This window comes from Homo sapiens, chromosome 1, assembly GCF_000001405.40.
Source record: "Homo sapiens chromosome 1, GRCh38.p14 Primary Assembly".
Lineage (NCBI taxonomy): Eukaryota > Metazoa > Chordata > Mammalia > Primates > Hominidae > Homo > Homo sapiens.
Genome location: NC_000001.11, coordinates 174,782,324 through 174,803,415, shown reverse-complemented (window position 1 = coordinate 174,803,415; position 21,092 = coordinate 174,782,324). Strand labels below are relative to the sequence as shown.

The 21,092-nt window shown below is 40.6% G+C and overlaps 1 protein-coding gene across 22 annotated transcripts in view, besides 2 other annotated features; it reads right to left on the bottom strand.

Moving 5' to 3' along the window:
- Positions 1-21,092, bottom strand: part of RABGAP1L (RAB GTPase activating protein 1 like) — an 835,789-nt gene that overhangs the window by 191,893 nt on the left and 622,804 nt on the right. For 5 of the 22 annotated variants that reach the window (NM_001330989.2, NM_001366454.1, NM_001243765.2 and 2 more), the window contains exon 1: positions 2,916-3,678. The exons of 16 other annotated variants lie outside the window; for them this stretch is intronic. Coding sequence is in view for 3 of the 6 variants with exons in the window: in NM_001243765.2 (NP_001230694.1) it covers positions 2,916-3,083 (168 nt within the window). In the remaining 3 variants the exon portion in view is untranslated. Of the gene's footprint in view, positions 1-2,915; positions 3,679-8,573; positions 8,577-9,218; positions 9,254-21,092 lie in introns of those variants that run through there. One more of the 22 variants, XM_047436058.1, reaches the window with a different exon arrangement.
- Positions 13,862-13,921: an enhancer, noted in NCBI's record as "active region_2124". NCBI's record gives its function as "activates an Ori minimal core promoter by ATAC-STARR-seq in GM12878 lymphoblastoid cells {active_cell/tissue: GM12878}" and the evidence as "EXISTENCE:reporter gene assay evidence [ECO:0000049][PMID:35858748]".
- Positions 16,297-16,356: a silencer, noted in NCBI's record as "silent region_1565". NCBI's record gives its function as "represses an Ori minimal core promoter by ATAC-STARR-seq in GM12878 lymphoblastoid cells {active_cell/tissue: GM12878}" and the evidence as "EXISTENCE:reporter gene assay evidence [ECO:0000049][PMID:35858748]".

Below are 21,092 nucleotides of genomic sequence, written 5' to 3'. Positions count from 1 at the left end.
ATTTTAATTTCACAAAAGAAAAACATGTTTGGTGAATGTACACATAGAATTTAGGCCTTGTGGTAATATCTAAAATGACATGCTTGCACCTGATTTATTAAAGGAAAATTGTCCTTAACTGGGTGTACCTTTGAAGGGTAACAAGCAAAAATTCCAAATGTGCATCCTCTATTATATCAGTAACCTCCTTCCAACTGAAGGTTAAAGAAACCTAGAGTTCTAGTAGTTTGACGATCCCTCTGTGAATCAGGGAACAATAAGTAATAAGGCTCAGAGACCAAATCCACAACACTATCTTGGTAAATCTTCATTTATTTGATTTTTTTGAAAAATGACTGGTTTTATGATGAAAAAAAAATAATGGGATCTTAAAAGTAAAATAAAGTACTTGTATGTGCTTAACCCACAAGCATTCATGTTTGAAACATGACTAAAAAGGTAAAGAGATGTTTTACACTTTAGTACTTCCTCTTGACTAGAAATGAAAAGATTGCAATACTGCATGTGGCAGGATTCCTCTTAGGAGTGTCCTGTGCAGATTAGCCATTGATCCCACATCATTAGCCAGTTCAATAACACAAGGCTGAACAATTTCCCCCTGGTACACATGCTAAACTTTGAGCAGTAACTTACTGAATAGCAGAGCCCAACTAACAGCCATATTGCTAATTAAAGAACTTGTAATTTCCCAAAATGTAGAGTACCCTCGTATTACCAATAATTTTTCAAGTGCAACTGTGTAAAACAAAGCCAGAGATTTTCAAGTGGCCCCCAAGATAAATCAGCGTATGCTTTTCTTTTTCTTTTTGAGATGGAGTTTAGCTCTTATTGCCCAGGCTGGAGTGCAATGGCACGATCTCAGCTCACCGCAATCTCTGCCTCCCGGATTCAAGCAATTCTCCTGTCTCAGCCTCCCAAATAACTGGGATTAAAGGCACGTGCCACCACGCCCGGCTAATTTTGTATTTTTAGTAGAGATGGGGTTTCTCCATTGTTGGTCAGGCTGGTCTCAAACTCCCAACCTCAGGTGATCTGCCCGCCTCAGCCTCCCAAAGTGCTGGGTATACAGGCTTGAGCCACTGCATCTGGCCTAGCATATGCTTTTCACACATAATGCAGGTGGCATTATTACTTAGGCTCTAACTGATAGAGCCTAAGTAAGGTCTCAAGACCACCTGAGAGATGCACTACTTCAGATGCCTAATTTGGCAACCAACCAGAGTTGGTACAATTGCAATACACAGATATACATGACCTCCAAAGAGCTCAAGCTTGAGAACCCAACTCCCTGTGGATTTTATTGCTAATTAATTTTTTCAGACTAGAGGCAGTTTAAATTCATCCCTAATGCAGAGTTGAGTATGCAAAATATTCTTAATTACCAATTTATGTTTTCCTTCAAAACACTGAAAATGTAAATGCCAAAGAGAGGTGGCACCAAATTACTGGAAAGTTACCATTGGAAGCCTTTGAGTCACAAAGTTGAGTAGTCTTTAGGATGCAGAAATATATTAGACCAAGCCTGATTCCTCAGAGATGTAGAGAATTTGTTGAAATATAGTTTAGCACTTCACAATATCAAAACTCCTGAAATAAAATGCTTCTCATTTCACTTACAAAACAAAACAAAACAAAACAAAACTCCTTTCTAAATAGAATCATGAATCCTTAGTTTTCTCCTTTAAGAAAAAGATGAGGTTCAGGGAAGTAATGACTTCACCTGGACATTAAAACACATGTCTTCAGCTCTTTTTATTTCTTCTTTAAATGACAAAGGAACTACATTTCTCAAAAATATCCCCCCTATAATTGTATGCTAGTCACTGCATCAAACTTTGTTTTGGAATGACAAATAGACTTTCCTTAGGATGGGAAATTTCTTATTTACATGGCTATCTAACATGTCTGTTATGATTGTACAGAAGAGATTATATTTGCATGTAAATACATACATAAAGACTGAACTAGTAATTGTAAAGATAAGTATAAATAGAGATGAATTATAGTGAAGGGAGATATAGGAGAGAAAAGAGTTAAATTCAGTCATGTAAATACTGTACTGAAAAGACTCTAATATGAGAGAACCATAGTGAGGAAATAGTCTAAAATGGTATTAAACTCCATTCTATAAAACAGACAAGGCTAAATTATTCTTATTCCATTACCACATAATGGTATAGGACTACTGTAAACCAATTACCTTATAGAATAGTTGCTAGGTATAGTTCTCAAGCCTGCAACAGCGATTGTGGGTATTTAATTTTAACCCTTGGTAGGAAATGAGGAAGGGTGATTTTTCTCTTATTCAGGAAATCAAATAACAAGCAAGTCAGACTTCCCAGATTCACAGCACAGAAGCCAGCAGCTTTAAGCTGTTTCACAGATAAACAGTTCAATCATTCTAGGAGAGAAACCTAAAATTTCCTACCAAAGTATTTTTAGGTGGTAAAATTCTCTATCAAAAAACAAAACAAAACAACAATCAAATTGGCAATCTAATGGGGAGGTTAGAAAGCAAACCACACACAGTCTAGATAAGTTGCTATGTCTGTTGTAAAATTTAACCCTTTGGAGATATACATAACAGAATGCCTACATCAAGCACTTGGGTATTCTGCTTTATTGCTGAGCCTAGCCAGGCAGAAAACCATTTTTTTGCTGCCACAGAGATAATGCCACTAATGTGACCCTGGGCTCTGAGAAAAGAGCCATGATCTCCTCTAACCAATTAAGGGGTGGTGTGGACCAGGCTCCAAATGAGCTGCACAACAGTGGCCACTCAGCATTTCCTTCTCGGCAGAATGGGGAGAAGGAGAAGAAAACCAGAGACAACAAGCCTCTTTCAGAGATACAAGGAATTTTCACAGAGGATAGCAGATTCCCTACAAATGAAGTTCAATGAAAAACAATCTCACCGCCAGAAGCCGAGGCACAAACAGACGATGCCCCATCCCCAGAAGTTCCAGCACTCGACACGCATACTCATTCACCAGCTTGCTCCTCTCGTCGTGCATGTCCTGGGACTTTTTGACAGGAGGTGTGAGCTTAGCAGCTGGGGCTGGGCAGGGCACCCCTTCTTCCATGAGCACTAAGTAGGTATCCAGAATGAGAAAGATGGATCTCTTATCCACAATATTAAGAACTGCGGTGGGAGGGGAGCCAGGTTTAGGTCTCCCTGGGAGGACGTACAAGCCAGTCTGTGGTGGGAATTGTCAGCTAATGTCTCCACAAGAAAAACATTTTGGCTAAATTATCCACTGCGAGAACCCCAAAGTAGACTGGAAAATGAAAATGAAATCAAGTACTGATCTAAATAAAAAACGGCAAAAGCAATCGAATGCGAGAAAATGGCCAAGAGTGATGCAGGAGAGTTCAGATACATGTGTAAAAACGGACAAGCTGCTTAGAAGGGTCTAGCATGTGAGAATGTGTGAGAGTGTGTGTGTGTGTGTGTGTGTGTGTGTGTGTGTGTGTGTGTGTGTGTGCGAGAAAGGGTGTGTGTGCGTGTCTATGTGTGAGAAGACAGCAGCAGCAGTAGCCAGGAAGCCAGGGCAGTTGTGAAGCTGCAAGGAGAAAACGATGAGCTCATTGCAATCCTCGATTCGTGACAAGCAGCGCTGTTGTTGCTGCTGCTGCTGCTACTGCTGCTGCTGCTGCCTCTCGCTGTGAATCAGTAATGAAGGGGTAGGGAAGGAAGGGGAGGGAAGAGGAGGAGGTAGGTGAATGAGCATGCAGAGTGTGTCTCAGGGGAGAATGCTGTAATAAGAAGCCAATGGCGAGCCATTGGACAGATGCGCTTCCCCCTCCCAGTCTACCTTCAATCAGTGTTAGTCTGACAGCTTATGCTGTTGAATCCTAAGCCACAGAGAGATGAACTAGCTTTTCCTAACATGTGACGCTCACAGAAAAAAATCAGACAGCCAGTCATCTGAACAGCTGACCTTTATTCACTCTTGCTTTCTAACAACGAGAATAGATCTTATACTTGGATTTAAAGTGGGATGTTCCAATCCTTATTAGATGACTGAAACCGCTACAGAAGAGAGGTATTAGGGTAAAATGATAGAGTATGGACAGAAGAGCCAAAGACCAAGCAACCAAGAAATGACACACCCTCAAGTTGAAGTGTTTATGCAATAATAATGACTCTTTGCAATGCAAATACAAGAAGCATTTCAGGATTCTGGGAAGGCTGGCCATGATTAAAAGGAAGATTTTTGTAAACAAGCAATATGATAAATAATAAAAACCTAACACGTATTAAGAGTATACATTTAAAGAACTATTAGAATTGAAATTCTCAAAGCAAAAATAACTTTTGTATGCCACAGACCTTGATAAACACTCAGCTAATAGTTGAAAACATTGTTCTGATAAATCTCTGGTCAAATTAATCCTTCCCCAGTAATATAAAAATTATCCATAGTTCAAAATTTTACAATCTTAGTGCTAATGTGTTATATTAGTTTACTTGTTGTGAATAAATAATCAGTTGTAGCCAAATGAAGGCAAAATGACCAAATCACCATAGGGACAGTCTCTTAACTTTATCCTAACAATTAACTAATCCATATTCAGCATCTTGATTCTGTGGTTCTGTAGTTGCTCTCTTAAGTACCAGGCTGGTTTCTCCATACAAATTATAGCATGGTACAAAGAGAAACAAGGCTAAGAGAGCCAGAGCATGTATTTTGTGAGTCTTAGTTTTCTACTCTGACAAATAAGAGTTACATATCTACAAATAACCAAATAGAAACATATTTATTGATGTATGTCTGTAGGCCTAAATAAATAGATTAATTATGAAAATGAGCTTAAAGAAATAGGAAGGGAGATTCTGCCTCCCTTAACAATATATTATTTGGTTTTGTTTTTCCAAAATCTCAGAAAAACAAGAATTTTAAGAAATTTAACATTTAAGTATTATTTAACAAGTTATTTTAAATGAAATATTTATATATTGCTGTCAAGCCTTTTATCTCTTCCAAAAATGATTTCTTTTTTTTTTTGTTTGAAACGGATTGTCGCTCTGTCACCCAGGCTGGAGTGCAGTGGCAGCATCTCAGCTGCAAGCTCTGCCTCCCGGGTTCACATCATTCTCCTGTCTCAGCCTCCCGAGTAGCTGGGACTACAAGCGCCCGCCACCACACCCAGCTATTTTTTTTTTTTTTTTTTGTATTTTTAGTAGAGATGGGGTTTCACCGTGTTAGCCAGGATGGTCTCGATCTCCTGACCTTGTGATCCGCCTGCCTCGGCCTCCCAAAGTGCTAAAATGATTTCTTAACAAACTAAATAAAGTAGAGCTAGGAACAGTAGTGTGTGCCTGTATTCCCAGCTACTCCAGAGGCTGAGGTGGGAGGATCCTTTGAGCTCAGGAGTTCCAGGCTCTAATGTGCTACGTTCCTGCCTGTGAACAGCCACTACACTCTAACCTGGGCAACATAGTGGAACCCCATCTCTAAAAACAAAAACAAAAAACTATGCAAAGTAAAGATCTTAATGTAAAATGATCATAAGCATAGAATATTACGTATATACAAATAAATTTCAGGTCCTAAAGTTCTGGAGTAAATGTTTGATGTACTGCCTAGGATGAGGATAGGTTCAGCTGGAAGAGGGAGGCCATAAGAAGGAAAAGGTTCTGGGCCTTTCATACTGTATCCCTAAACACACACACACACCCACACCCACACACCACACACCACACCCCACACACACACACACATCCCCCCACACCTCCCCATACCCCACACCACACACACACTCCCCACACACCCCCCCACACACCCACACTCCCACTCCACACTACACGCCCACACACCACCACATACACCCCCACACATCACACCCCCCACACCCTCCTGCACACACCCACAGACACACCACACACACACCCCCTACACACACATCCCACACACCACACACACACACCCCCCCAACACCACGCACATTTAGACACACACACACTCCCCTCAGCTCCATTTTTACCTTGTATATATACTGGTGTTCTGCATTAAATTTTGTTTGATAGGACTGTGCTACTGCTATGTACAGCACTGCCATAGACATTTCACATTTAAGAACAAGGGAACATCCTGAATTGCTCTTAAATGTGAATGAAGAATTCAGTGACTTCTTAGGTTATAGGATTTTTTTCTAGTTGACTTTTTAAAGGGTAGGGAAGATGTTTCCACTCAACTAACTTGGTCTTGAAAAGTACTAGCTGAAGCATTTTTTCTTACATAAACCAGAAACAGGACTTGCCCAAAAAGATTCCAGTAAAAATAAGTAAAAATTAATCAAAATGATTTTGGAACTGTATGGTTTGGCTCTGATGCTCACAAAAAGAAGTTAAAATCATATATACTATGTATTAAATGTAATAATTAAAATATGATTTTTTTTTTTTGAGACAGAGTCTCGCTCTGTTGCCCAGGCTGGAATGCAGTGGCGTGATCTCAGCTCATTGCAACCTCCGCCTCCCAGGTTCAAGCCATTCTGCTGCCTCAGCCCCACGAGTAGCTGGAATTACAAGCATGTGCCACCATGCCCGGCTAACTTTTGTATTTTGAGTAGAGATGGGGTTTCACCATGTTGGCCAGGCTGGTCTTCAACTCCTGACCTCATGATCTACCCGTCTCGGCCTCCCAAAGTGCTGGGATTACAGGTGTGAGCCACCGTGCCCAGCAAAATATGTTATCTTAATGAGCAAACCAAGTTTCACTTAAAACAGTTAGGTATGTTTAACAAAATGCTGTGTACAAGGCACTACAACAAGTGGTCATGTACTTCAGTTTCCCCATCAAAAATCCCTCATGTTTCCTTCATGCTTCCCCTCAAAAATCCTTGCATTCAAAATTTCCATCATTTCTGCCCTGGTCCTTTTTTCAGGATATTCTTTCAGAATAGAATGTTCATCAATATCAGGTAAAATGATTCTTCTAGAACACTACTTGGTGAAATGAAAAAAGAGATTCTAGGGATTTTTGAAGCCCTAAAAGCATCACTCATTTCAGTGAGCTTTTCCTCCTCTTCCTCCCCAAATCCCAAATACTTTTTTTATTGTTGTTGCGATTCAGTAATAAATCACAGAACAATCACAGAACATTCTTCTTTTGAAATGGCGTCTTGCTGTGTTACCCAGGCTGATCTTGAACTCCTGGGCTCAAGGGATCTCCTACCTCAGCCTACTGAGTAGCTGGGATTATAAGCATGTACCCAACAGAACACTTCACAGAAAACATTTCTGAGTTATAAAGTAGTCCATAAAATGGAATAAGAGAAAAGAAACTCTTCCGATTTAACTAGTTAATAATGCATGATTTCTCACATTTCTTTTGGATGAATCACCCATAGAGAAGAAAAACTTATTCCCTCTATCCTCCTAGGTTCTCTGCCTGGGGCCCTGCAAATAAGTCTGAGACAATACAGGTTAGCAAGATAAACATAAACAGAACTTTATTAACACATGTAGTATGCACACACATGGGAGAAACTCAGTAATGACTAACTCAAAGGAGTGGTTAGTACTTGGGGCTGAGGCCAGGCACAGTAGCTCACACCTATAATCCCAGGACTTTGGGACGCCAAGGCAGGCAGATGGCTTGAGCCCAGGAGTTCAAGACCAGCCTGAGCAACATGGCAAAAACCTTGTCTCTATAAATAATTATAATAATAACAACAATAATTAATCATGGTGGCACACACCTGTAGTCTGAGCTAACCAGGAGGCTGAAGTGGGAGGATCACTTGAGCCTGGAAAGCCAAGGCTGCAATGAGCCACTATTGTGCCACTACACTCCAGCCTTGGTGAGAAAGTGAGACCCTGTCTCAGAAAAACAAAAACTTGGGACTTGGGGTTTATTAGCATGTTAATAAGGAACAATACTTCTGTAGAGAAGTGATAAAACAAAGGAAAAGGACTTTGAGCTCCTAGGGTGACAAATTGTAGGAAGGCAAATATATGGGGAAACTTATGACAGATAAAGACTAGTTAATAAGGTTTGTTTGTATAGACTCTTTCTTGGTGCCATCTCCTCTCCATTTATAAGGTTGCTATCCCTTTGCTGGTATGGAAAGTGAGTGGCGAGGCACCTTCACAAGAGGAATTTATGCTTGACTTTCAGGCATACGGGGGATGGCAGAGAGCTTGTCCTATGTCTGCTTTTCCTTAATCGCCTTTACCTCAAAATAATCCTTATGCCACAGTGATATACTGGGGGGGAGGGGTGACATATTCTGAATCCTTTCATACCCAATAAGAGAGAGTAAGAGAAAAAACCAGGCAATGGTCCCAAAGCCATGGTCTAATGACTAGAAGTGTCATTCTCTGGAGTACTGGAAGCAGGTGGTCAGTGCTGCAATCCCAGTTAGAGCCTTGCACTTGAGAATGCTCTTCCTGAACCACTCCACTGTGTCATGGTTATCAGACATATTCAGGACACATATAGATTTCCATTGTAAAATGAAAAGCACATTTGACTTAATTCATGGACCTATAATTAAGAAAACTGAATGTAACAAAACATGCTAGGTAGTTATTTCAGTAGTTACAAAAATGAAAAAGGAAACACCTTCTGACCTGCAGGAGCTTAAAATCAGGGAGGTATCCAAATACAAAGATAAAGTAGGGTGTGATGGACACTATAAAAGGGGTGACACACTGTGTGCTATGAGGTAGGTATGTCTTTGTTGTCCACAGTAGATGCAGACAAAAGTGGGTTTATACTACTGGGATGGGCCTAGACAAAAATCCAAGAGTAATGATAATTAAATATATCTCTAAGACCAAAACAGGGCATTGCTTATTACATCATCTTTTAGTCACATTTACTAGCTGTATGACATGAATAAGTTACTTAGCCCTCTGAGCTTCTGTATGGCAACATCACCTAGCTGGCAAAGCTGCTCTGAAAATTTAATAAATTAATGCATATAAAGGAACCTCTCGTAGAGCCTAGCACATGGTAGGTGCTCAACAACTAGTAGTTTTTTTCATTCTTTCCAGGAAATCACATAGAAGAAAAGAAAATGTGTAAAAATACATTGCGTTTATCTGGGTTAGGGTTTAGAAAGACAAAAAGAACTTTGGATATATTCACAATAGAAAGAGAGTTAGTCAAACACTGAAAAGACATTCCTGTCAGATCACCTGCCTCTTCGGTTCACTAAGACACAGACACATCAATAAGTAGCAAAGGATCCATGCCCTTCTTGACTAGGAGAGCAAAACCTAATTCTCTAGCTATTCTTTGCCTGATTGACAATTTTTAAAAAGATGAACCTTCAATGATTTTGCAAGTTCCTAAGATCCAGCAAACAGGTCAAAATACAGATGACACAGTGAGTAGTGGTGCCATCGTGGTAGTGTAAAATCCTGCACAAATCACACTCTTTCTTTCATTCAAGTCTTGATTCTGGGCCGGGCATGGTGGCTCACACCTGTAATCGCAGCACTTTGGGAGGCCGAGGTGGGCGGATCGCTTGAGGTCAGGAGTTTGAGACCAACCTGGCCAACATATCATAAACCTGTCTCTACTAAAAATACAAAAATTAGCTGGGTGTGGTGGTTGCATACCTGTAATCCCAGCTACTGGAGAGGCTGAAGCAGGAGAATCACTTGAACCTGGGAGGCAGAGGTTGCAGTGAGCCAAGATCATGACACTGCACTCCAGCCTGGGTGACACAGTGAAAATCCATCTCAAAAAAAAAAAAGTCTTGATTTTGCTCAACACTGTACTATATGCTTCTGGATATAGAAAGACAGATCAGATGCTGCTTTCTAACTTTAAGGATTATTCAAGCTACTTAAAAGCTAAAATGAAATGTAATGAGACTGAGCTTACAAGTTGTATCACAGGGAAATGAGTCTCATTATTTTATAGTTGGAACTCAAACATCGAAGAATTAGAGTACAATATAGAAGATACTGTGCAGTTACCTGACATTTTGGTAGGTGGTTGAGGTCACATGTTTATAGCATCTCTGTAAAATATTGTAGACTTACCTAGCTTTTTAGGAATGCTCTAACCTTGTAAAATTTAAGGCATAACTGTTAAAGAAGGTTTTTTGTTTTTAAATAGAAAGGAGAACTTTCCCCTACCAAAAGCAATTTAATAACATTCTGAATAGTCTTGGTAGCATCACTAATACCTATTGCCAATCCTTGTGATCAGATTCTACTGTAATGCCTTTATTAATGTAAGAATGTCTTATGGTCTGTAGAGAGTCATTTTGTTTCTACTTGGTTTTTCTTTATCTTTTTCTTTTTTTCTTTTTTTTTGGAGATGGAGTTTCGCTCTTGTTAACCAGGCTGGAGTGCAGTGGCATAATCTTGGCTCACTGCAACCTCTGCCTCCTGAGTTCAAGTGATTCTCCTGCCTCAGCCTCCCAAGTAGCCGGGATTACAGGTGCTCGCCACCACACCCTGCTAATTTTGTATTTTCAGTAGAGACGGGGTTTCACCATGTTGGTCAGGCTGGTCTCGAACTCCTGACCTCAGATGATCCACCCGCCTTGGCTTCCCAAAGTGCTAGGATTATAGGCGTGAGCCACCGCACTGGCCTGTTTCTACTTCTGTGTCATTATTGACATGTAGCTCAATAGGCTGCTTATCTTATTACTGGACATTTAGGAAAGGGCTATACTGTACATAGTAAGCCAGACATCTGAAACTTCTAGTAACTAGGCTCAGTTATATATAGTTTTAGTTGCTTTATTGAGTATGGCTGACATACAGAAAGTTGTAGATATTTTATATGTATAATTTGATGTACTTTGCCATAAGTATACACTTGTGAAACCATTATCACTATCAGTGCCGTAAACTTATCCATCATCTCTAAAAATTTCCTCCTGTTCCCTTTGTTTTGTTTTTCCTTTTGTGGTTAGAGCACTTCCTATAAGAGTCACCTCAATTAAATATTTTACAGCAACACAGACTAAGTCTACTTCTTTTTTTCCACGTGACGTTAATTAAAATATTCAAAGACAGTCTTAATTTTCTTTTCTCTAAGCTAATCATCCCTGCTGCAAACTGGGTCTCCTATGAGGTGGTTTCTGGACCATTCTAGACTATTCACAATCATGCTTGCTACTTCAAGAACACACTTTGGACAGTATCTCTCATAGGGCTGCCCAAACTGAAACAGATACTCTAGATATAACAGAATAATAAAGTAATGAAACCTTGTTGGACCCTAGAAAACACCAAGGTCTAACATGTTTATCCTGTTGAAAAGACTGAGGCAGTAGATAAGTGACTGCTCATCATCATAAAACTTGTCAGAGGCAGAGTCAGGAAGCCAAGATATTCAGAGCACAGATGCACGGCAGGGAACCTAGCATTTCCTGCACTGTAATCTGGTCTTTCAAGTAATGTATCCCATAAAGAACCTATCTTATTAGAAAGATTATGCTTCACCACTTTATTCCACGTGGAACTGGTCAGGAACCTGAGCCTGCCATCTGGTAAGAAAGAATCTAAGATTCTTAGGTTGAGTTGAGAAGGGGTATCCACAAGTCTGCCCTGAGAACTGTCACTTCTAAACACACAGTTGTTATAATAAAGCACATCTGCCTTCTCAATTTTTAACTGATAAGCACTTTCTTTTCCAGATGAACAGTTCAAGGAGCTACATCCTTGGCAGCTCAGCCACAGCGTCTCTGTAAGAGCTGCTTTCTTGAAGCCATGTTAGTGGCACAGGCTTGAAAATGGAATGCTATCTCAGTTCGTTCATCCCCTTTCCTGGACAGTGTGGATAAAGCTCATATTTATTTTCAAGCTTAAGCAGAAGGTATAAACATATGTTAGCAGAAGCCTGTTTTTAAATTTTGAATTGATCAGATTAAAATTATCGTGTATAGAATCTAGACTATTCCCTGATCCTCTCAAGCTAGACCAGCATTTTTTTATCTTTATGTGTGTGTATTGTCATTGCTGTTAAAAAATAATGAGGTGTTGTACTCATCCTAGTAAGTTGTGAATTGTCTCTACCTTCTTCCTATGGTCCATCTCCAATTCCCTATTAAATTTGCAATCTCTAACATCTTCATCTTCATATTACATAGAATGTTAGGTATATGTTTAACAGCTGTCACTGTAAAAAATAATATTTTCAATGGAGGAGTTATATGGGCCAACCCATGTATTAGCAAGTGAATTTATTTCTACAAAATTAATATGTCAAGATAGGGACATTCATTTTTTTTTCTTTTTTTTTTTTTGAGATGGAGTCTCTCTTCTTCACCCAGGCTGGAGTGCAATGGCACGATCTTGGCTCACTGCAACCTCTGCCTCCTGGGTTCAAGCAATTCTCCTGTCTCAGCCTCCCAAGTAGCTGAGATTACAGGCACGTGCCAGCACGCCAGGCTAATTTTTGTATTTTTAGTAGAGACGGGGTTTCACCATGTTGGCCAGGCTGGTCTCGAACTCCTGACCTCAAGTGATCCACCCACCTCAGCCTCCCAAAGTGCTGGGATTACAGGTGTAAGCCACCACGCTCAGCCTCATTTTTTTTTTCTTGAAATGGACAAGTCCATGTTGTGAAACAAAGGTGGTAATAGATTGCACAGCCTCCTCCCACTCTAGCTCTCCCACCATACATAAACACATACCCCCCGCCCCCTGCCCACACACACACACACACACTCATGGCTTCAAATAGATGCAGCAGAATTTCAGAAGGGCCTCTGCACCGTTTTTGCCGCCAATCTTCATATGGCTAGCTCTACTGCATCATTCAATTCCAATGTCATTTTGCTCACAGAGGCTTTCTCTTTTCTTTTTTTTTTTCACTTTTGTCGCCCAGGCTAGAGTGCAATAGCGCAATCTTGGCTCACTGCAACCTCTGCCTCCTGGGTTCAAGCGATTCTCCTGACTCCGCCTACTGAGTAGCTAGGATTACTGGCATTCAAAAATAGCCAGCCATCATGCCTGGCTAATTTTGTATTTTTAGTAGAGACGGGGTTTCACCATGTTGGTCAGGCTGGTCTCGAACTCCTGACCTCAGGTGATCTACCCACCTTGGCCTCCCAAAGTGCTAGGATTACAGGCATTAGCCACCGTGCCCGGCCCAGAGGCCTTCTCTCTTACTATCTTTATCTAATGAAGGGCAGTAAAAAATTTGTATTATTTCTTTTATGACATTTATCACCACTTGAAATTGTTTTCTTACTTCTTTGTTACGTATTCTCTTTTTTTTTTTTGAGACAAAGTCTTGCTCTGTCTCCCAGACTGGAATGCAGTGGCATGATCTCGGCTCACTGCAACCTCTGCTTCCCAGGTTTCAGTTATCCTCGTGTCTCAGCCTCCTGTGCAGCTGGAACCACAGGTGTGAGCCACCACAGCCAGCTAATTTTTTTGTATTTTTAGTAGAGATGGGGTTTCACTATGTTGGCCAGGCTGGTCTTGAACTCCTGGCCTCCAGTGCTCTGCACACCTCAGCCTCCCAAAGTGCCAAGATTACTGTCATGAGCCACCACACCTGGCCAGTTATGTATTATCTCTGTATCCAATTAGAAAATATCAGGGCAGGCTTACAGTGGAGAAGAGCAAGAGATTCAAAAAATGTTAATTGGCAAGGGTATTGAGAGGAAAACAAACACAAAATAAGATCCTTGTCTCAGCTTCTTCTATTAATTCATTCATTTTCACTTTGAAATATTATAATTTTACAGGGCCTTAGAACCTCTGTTTCCTTTAGCAACCAAGAGTCAACCACAGTGACCCCTTGACACATTTACAGATTTAACATTTATTGTTTCTGTTCTCCCCAGGAGACCCCACAGAGACACAACACAGTAACTTGTGGGTTTGCTGAGCAATGAACTGAGTCACTCCCATGTAGCAGATGCTGAGTAAATTTAGCTTACAGTCTTTGCCCTTCTCAGTTATTATACATTCTTATGACAAGGCAGTTATTTTATATCAATTTCATAAGTAAAGAAACTCTGTAAAAAAAAATCGTAGCAGTATTGAAAAATCAGGGAATGTAAGAGCATCTGAAAATATATTCTTCATGAATGTTGAGTTGTTTTAATCCCCTGAACCCATGTTTTTACATACTAAAAAAACAGACCACGGTCCAACTAAATTGGTCTACCTGGTTAATTGCAGTGATTCCTTAAGAATGCCATGATTAATACATAATATTATGCTTCCAAAAAGGCTATTACTGATCTATAACCATCATAAAGACTAGCCACAGAAAAATGCAGAGACCATTTTAGACATGCAAGTAGCTGAGTCACTGTGGTTTTTGGTAAGAGGAGAAAGGTTTCTATATTTAAAAATAAGGATATCATAATATTGGTATTTAGAGTATCCTGTGAACTTTGGATAATACATGTTATGTAACAGTCAACTACTTCAGGAAAGAGAAGAAACTTAAAAGCATAAAACAGGCTGACTGCAGTGGCTCACACCTGAACCCCCAGCACTTTGGGTGGCTGAAGAGAGAGGATGGCCTGAGCTCAGGAGTTCGAGAACAGCCTAGGCAACATGGTGAAACCCTATCTCTACTAAAAATACAAAAAAATTAGCCAGTTGTGGTGGTGCACGCCTGTGATTCCAGCTACACAGGAGGCTGAGGCACGAGGATCACTGGAACCTGGGAGATGGAGGTTCCAGTAAGCCGAGATCATGCCATTGCACTCCAGCCTGGGCAACAGAACAAGACTTCATCCCAATGTGTCCAATAGGTACATTTGAGGCCAGTAAGTACATCTGAGGCCAAATTATGATGAAAATGGAATTCCAAAAAGATGGGTACTGGACAACAAGTAGGTGAGGAATGCTACGAAGATTACCTTTTAGAAAGATTAATCTAATAGCAGAGGGCAGGACAGCTTAAGAGAGGAAGAGACTGAAGGTAGACAAGTCAGAAAGCTCTTGTAGTCAATCGAATGTGAGAAAATGAGAGCCTGGACTGGTGTGCTACGGAAATAGAGCCAAGCTTGAATATAAGAAGTACCACAAAGAAGAAATACCTCTTCAGTGTTTCTGTGTTAACTTTCTAAAGTACAGGTGGTTTGCTATGACCTCCTTTGTATAACTCACTAATACAAAACTGCCAGAGAGACAATATTCTTTACCAAGTCAGGGAATGGCACACCACAGAGGAAGCAGAATGCCTCCTGATAAATGAACACAGTGGCTCTCTCAAAGTTCCAGGTGCTGAGGCACAAAGTTGATTATAAGATCACTTGAACTGGTTACTTTCGTCGCAAGTCTAATTATTAATGAAGTTCAAACAATAATACATTAAAGCTGTACCATGCAGAAGCTGGTCTGGTATCACTATTCAATTGCTTAGGGACACCCTGGTTATCACTAAATGCCATAAGTGAGAACATGTAAGGTCTAGTAAGCTTCTTTCTCTATAAAGCACACATTTTAGCAGCTCTTTTCCTTAAAATTAAAGAGAGACCAGGACAGGGAAGTTTTTAAAAGGAAGATAAAAGAAAAGTGGAGGATAGTAATGACTCACTATTCGTTGTCTCACATATCCAACTGTACCCAAGTTCCCTACAGTACCTGGGAAATGCTGCTCAGTTTGCCCCTCTACACCCCTATTGTTGCAGCCTTGGTTAAAGAAGCCTTCATTATTTCTCCCCCAGACTATTCTAATAGTATCCTAACTATTCTCCATATGTATTACCAGTACCTTCACATTTCAGTCTTTTCGCCTCCAAATTATCTTCCTAAAACAAAACATTTGATCATGCAATTGTCTGAAAGTATCCATATCCTCTGGTCCACAGGTTCAAAGCACAAGACATCCTTCAGACAAGCTAGATCTATCCTACCTTTCCAATTGCATCTGTCACCTTGACCCCTCATGCCCAATGTCCTCATGAAACTTCTCATTATTTCCCAAATATGCTTTTTAAAAATTATGCTTTTCTTATCTACATATATTGTTCTTGTTGCCTAAAACATCATTCCTTGTTTTGTCTTGCTAATCTTTCAAGAGTCAGATGTCACTTTCTCTTATTTTTTTTTTTTTTTTTTTGACACAGAGTCTTGCTCTGTCACCCAGGCCAGAGTGCAATGGTGCAATGTCAGCTCACTGCAATCTCCACCTCCCAGGTTCAAGCGATTCTCCTGCCTCAGCCTCCCAAGTAGCTGGGATTACAGGCACACACCACCACGCCCGGTTCATTTTTGTTTTTTTAGTAGAGACAGGGTTTCACCATGTTGGCCAGGCTGGTCTGGAACTCCTGACCTCAGGTGATCCACCCACCTCGGCCTCCCAAAGTGCTGGGATTACAGGTGTGAGCCACTATGTCCAGCCTCACTTTCTCTTTCAAGTCATCCCTGTCATTACTTCCCTCCTCTGCCTTTGCATCCTGTCCCATTTATGACCCTACAATAACAACTCTTCTACGACAATTATTTGTAGGCACGTCTGTCTCCCCTACTTCCCAGTGAAACTCTGAGATTAACCACACAACATATTCATTTTCGCACCTCTAGTACCCAACAGTTTTTAGTCACTGTGGTCAGAGATCATTTAAATACATATTGAGTAAATGAACAAATGAATAAATGATGCTCACGTGAAGAAATAAAATTAAAATATCAGCTTAACTTTTTAAAATATATATATTAAACTAGGGGATAATAAGCATATATGTCTCTTTTATTTAATGTCTAAATTAGTAAGAAGAAAGTTCAAAATGAAAGCAAGTGCAATGTTTATGGATTTCTAAAAGAAGGGAGGGATACTGACACATAGTAAAGCAGCATAAAATCCATAAGAAAATAAATAAAGGTCAACGTTATTTAGCAAAGTACTCATTACCATTTGGTGTTCCTTCAAGAACATGTAAATTTGATTTGGGGAATGTGGGGGTTCTCATGATGATGACCTAGTTCTCTGGAAGTGAATCAGTGAACAAACCCATATGCTTTACAGGATGGACACAATTAGAGTTCAGAAGTTATTGGCTTCCGTTTGGATTTTACTGTGTACAATATAATAAGGAGGAGAGTGTCAAATAAAACAATATTTTTCATTTCACAAAGAAACAGAGTATGGGTGTTGATGGAAGTAGTAACATAGTTGGCTATAACTAATAAAGTGTTATAAAATCCAATCATTAAAGTTCCCAAAGCTTTTTAAACAATGTCCACATGAACCTAAACTAATATTAACAAAAAATATCCCCTTTAGAAAATATCTGATTGACAAGTTTATTTGCTCAAAAGGGCAGATACTTAGAATTTACCAGTCACAAGACTGAAATCAAACTCAAGAAAATGACACAGAAATCACTTTGGTAAATGGAAGACTCTTCCACACTCCTCCTCTACAAGTTATTATATTTAGAGAAGATAAAAACTACAAGTAAATGCATAAGGTGTTTGAAATGGAGTTAGCCAGATGGTATACACACATTAGTCAAATAACTGAGTTCAAATTTCCATTTATGTTTACATTTACATATTTACATACTTTTTTTTACTATTTCTTTCCTATCAGTGATACTCCAGGTTATAATGCTCTGATCATGGGATGTTACAACATTTAAATGAAAGTTGAAATATCTAGCCAAAATTCAAGAACTAAAAGTCTAATATATAAGCATTCTACTGTATTTAAGGCAAAGGGGCCTAAAAGCAGCTGTCACCACTGTAGGGCTTATGGTCTGCACATAACGGTGGAGAAGCAGCGTGGGTTATAGACATGAGAGTGAGCAGTTGAATACGCATGCTCAAAAGCTCCTACAGGGCTCGAATGGTCCCGTTCTTAAAAGAAGTTTCACTCCTTTAGCTCTCCAAATACCAGAGTCAGCTTTGCTGTCTTTGCTCTGAAATGAGAACGCATTATTTTCCAACAAGAATGCCTAAGCAGCAAGTGTGCTAAGCAAGAGCTTTTGATTTCTTCTCTTTACTCTAAAATTGCCTAACCATAGCATAATATACCAAGCCAAGATAACTACAATTATCGTTCCTTTACTGGAATTATTTATTTTACTGAAACAGTAGCTGAACGATAAGCTAACCTTAATCTCAGAACAAGACAATTCTCTATTTTAAAATCACTCAGGGTGAGTGCAGTGGCTCACGCCTGTAATCCCAGCACTTTGGGAGGCTGAAATGGGTGGATCATCTGAGGTCAGGAGTTTGAGACCAGCCTGGCCAACACAGTGAAACCCTGTCTCTACTAAAAATACAAAATTAGTTGTGATTGGCGGCGCATGCCTGTAATCCCAGCTACTCAGGAGGCTGAGGCAGGAGAATTGCTTGAACCCGGCAGGCAGAGGTTGCAGTGAGCCGAGATTGCGCCATTGTACTCCAGCCTGGGCAACAAGAGTGAAACTCTGTCTCAAAAATAAAAACAAAAATAAAAAAATAAAATAAAATCACTCATATGGAAATATTGTATTGTGAAATACTGTAGTATATTCTCACCCCCAAAACATACCTTTTCATTTAAATGCTACTGAGAATACAATGGGTCCTATTTAAAATATGCCATCTTTCATTACTTTTTATTTAAGGAGGAGTTGCTTATGATTTAATAATCAAGAAGAAACTGACTGGTGGCTTCTGCTCCAATACTGATTCTTCAAAATGGAGCTTCCTCAACCATGCAAGGGCTTGTAGAACATGTAAAAGCCTAGTACCAGGTAAACACCCACGTTGCTCTCCACACACTACCCTTACCCCCATTTCTAGGCTGCCTTCCTTTACACTCATTTTGATTTTGCTTTTGCTTTCCTGCAGTTTGGTCTATTCTTGGCTTTGAACTCCGATTCCTGACATGCCCCTCAGGCCAGTCTTGCTTGATGGCCCACACTTGTCTCAATTACCTCCTTCAGTTCATCTACTCAACTCAACCTTTACAAAATAAAACATTACCATGTCTGGGTAGAAGATGTTTCCACTACCAGTCCCACGCTTGCTGGGGTAAACCTCTCCCACCTCCCACCACAATATAGGAGGGATTGCACACTGGTCATATAAAAGAAAGAAAAGAAATCTGAGATAAGATAAATATAATAAATTGACAACAGAGCACTAAAGAGAAGGAAGAATAGAGAATAAGTAGGTAAATCTATAGTTATCCAAATAAAAGAAGAAAAACTGAGTCCAGGCGCGGTGGCTCAAGCCTGTAATCCCAGCACTTTCGGGAGCCGAGGTGGGCGGATCACGAGGTCAGAAGATCAAGACCATCCTGGCTAACACGGTGAAACTCCGTCACTACTAAAAATACAAAAAATTGGCCGGGCGTGATGGCGGGTGCCTGTAGTCCCAGCTACTCGGGAGGCTGAGGCGGGAGAATGGCCTGAACCCGGGAGGCGGAGCTTGTAGCGAGCCGAGATCGCACCACTGCACTCCAGCCTGGGTGACAAGCCAGACTCTGTCTCAAAAAAAAAAAAAAAAAAAAAAAAAAAGAAGAAGAAGAAGAAAAACTCACGGCCTGTAATCTCAGCACTCTAGGAGGGCGAGGCGGGAGGATCATGAGGTCATGAGATGGAGACCATCCTGGCCAATATGGTGAAACCCCTTCTCTAGTAAAGATAAAAAAAATTAGCTAGGCATGGTGGCATGCGCCTGTAGTCCCAGCCACTAGGGAGACTGAGGCAGGAGAATCACTTGAACTCGGGAGGTGGAGGTTGCAGTGACCTGGGATCACGCCACTGCACTCCAGCCTGGCGGCAGAGTGAGGCTCCATCTCAAAAAAAAAAAAAAAAAAAAGAAGAAGAAGAAGAAAACATATCAAAGATGCAAAGATGTTCAGTAACCTCTCAATTATCAACAGAGAATGGCAGTACTAATTTCAAATTGAAGATGAATACAGATTTGAGTAAGTTGTCGCAATTCTATTTGAATATCTCTTAGGTATTAGGCATTAACTTGAATAATGAAGTCATTACAAAAAAGAACTAGCTCAGGAAGACCTAGGAATGTATTTAGATTTCTTATCTGGTACTCCCTCATACTGTTACGGGCGGCGGGGGCAGGGTGGGTCTTTGTTCTTAGAGCTCCCAAGATGGTGACGGCTGCTCCCAACATGGTAGGAAGCCTTTTGTTCTCCGGCCTGGGGTTCTTGGCCTCACAGATTCCAAGGAATGGAACCTTGGGCCATGCGGTGTTATAGCTCTATTAGAAGCCGTGAGTCACGGAATAGAACCGTTGAACCCAGCGACTAGTGTTTGGCTAGAATAGGACAAACCTGGGCATTTAGCCACGCAGGAACAATGGCGAGCCTTTAGCCCCATCAGGAGGGGCAATGGGCGCCTCACTAGATCAGGAGTGCAGCGGACACCCTGCAGGATCCAGAGGGCTGGAAGTCAACGGTGGGTCTGCGATGGTAGCATTCAGCAGTGATGAACGGTGAGCAAAAGCTCAGCTCCAGCCAGAACAAACATGGACCAAAAGAGTGTGCAGTTGCAAGATTTAATAGAGTGAAAACAGAGCTCCCATACAATGGGAGGGGACCCAAAGGGGGTTGCCCGATCCCAGCTCCGGAATGCCTGGGGTTTATATCCCAATCATTGTCCCTCACCCTGTGCTCTCAGATGATAGATGATTTGACTACTTCTTTGCCTCCTGTTTTTAGCCTAATTTGCATTTTAGTGAGCCCTCTTTACTACCTGATTGGTCAGGTGTGAGCTGAGTTACAAGCCCCGTGTTTAAAGGTGGGTGTGGTCACCGTCCACAGCTAGGTTTAGGAATTCTTAGTCGGCCTAGGAAATCCAGCTTAGTCCTGTCTCTCAATACCACTAGCTCAATCCACGGTACCCACAAAATGTCCATTCTCTACTGTGATGCAAACTGACATCCCATGCGGAAATGCAGAGCTCCTCCAGAGAAGAGTAACAAATGAAGAAAAATTTCAAAGAGCTTCCACCAAATTCTTTACACAGCATTTAAGTAAAGCAGGTCCCTGTTTGCAGATGACATGACTGTATATCTAGAAAACCCCATCGTCTCAGCCCAAAATCTCCTTAAGCTGATAAGCAACTTCAGCAAAGTCTCAGGATACAAAATCAATGTACAAAAATCACAAGTATTCTTATACACCAATAACAGACAAACAGAGAGCCAAATCATGAGTGAATTCCCATTCACAATTGCT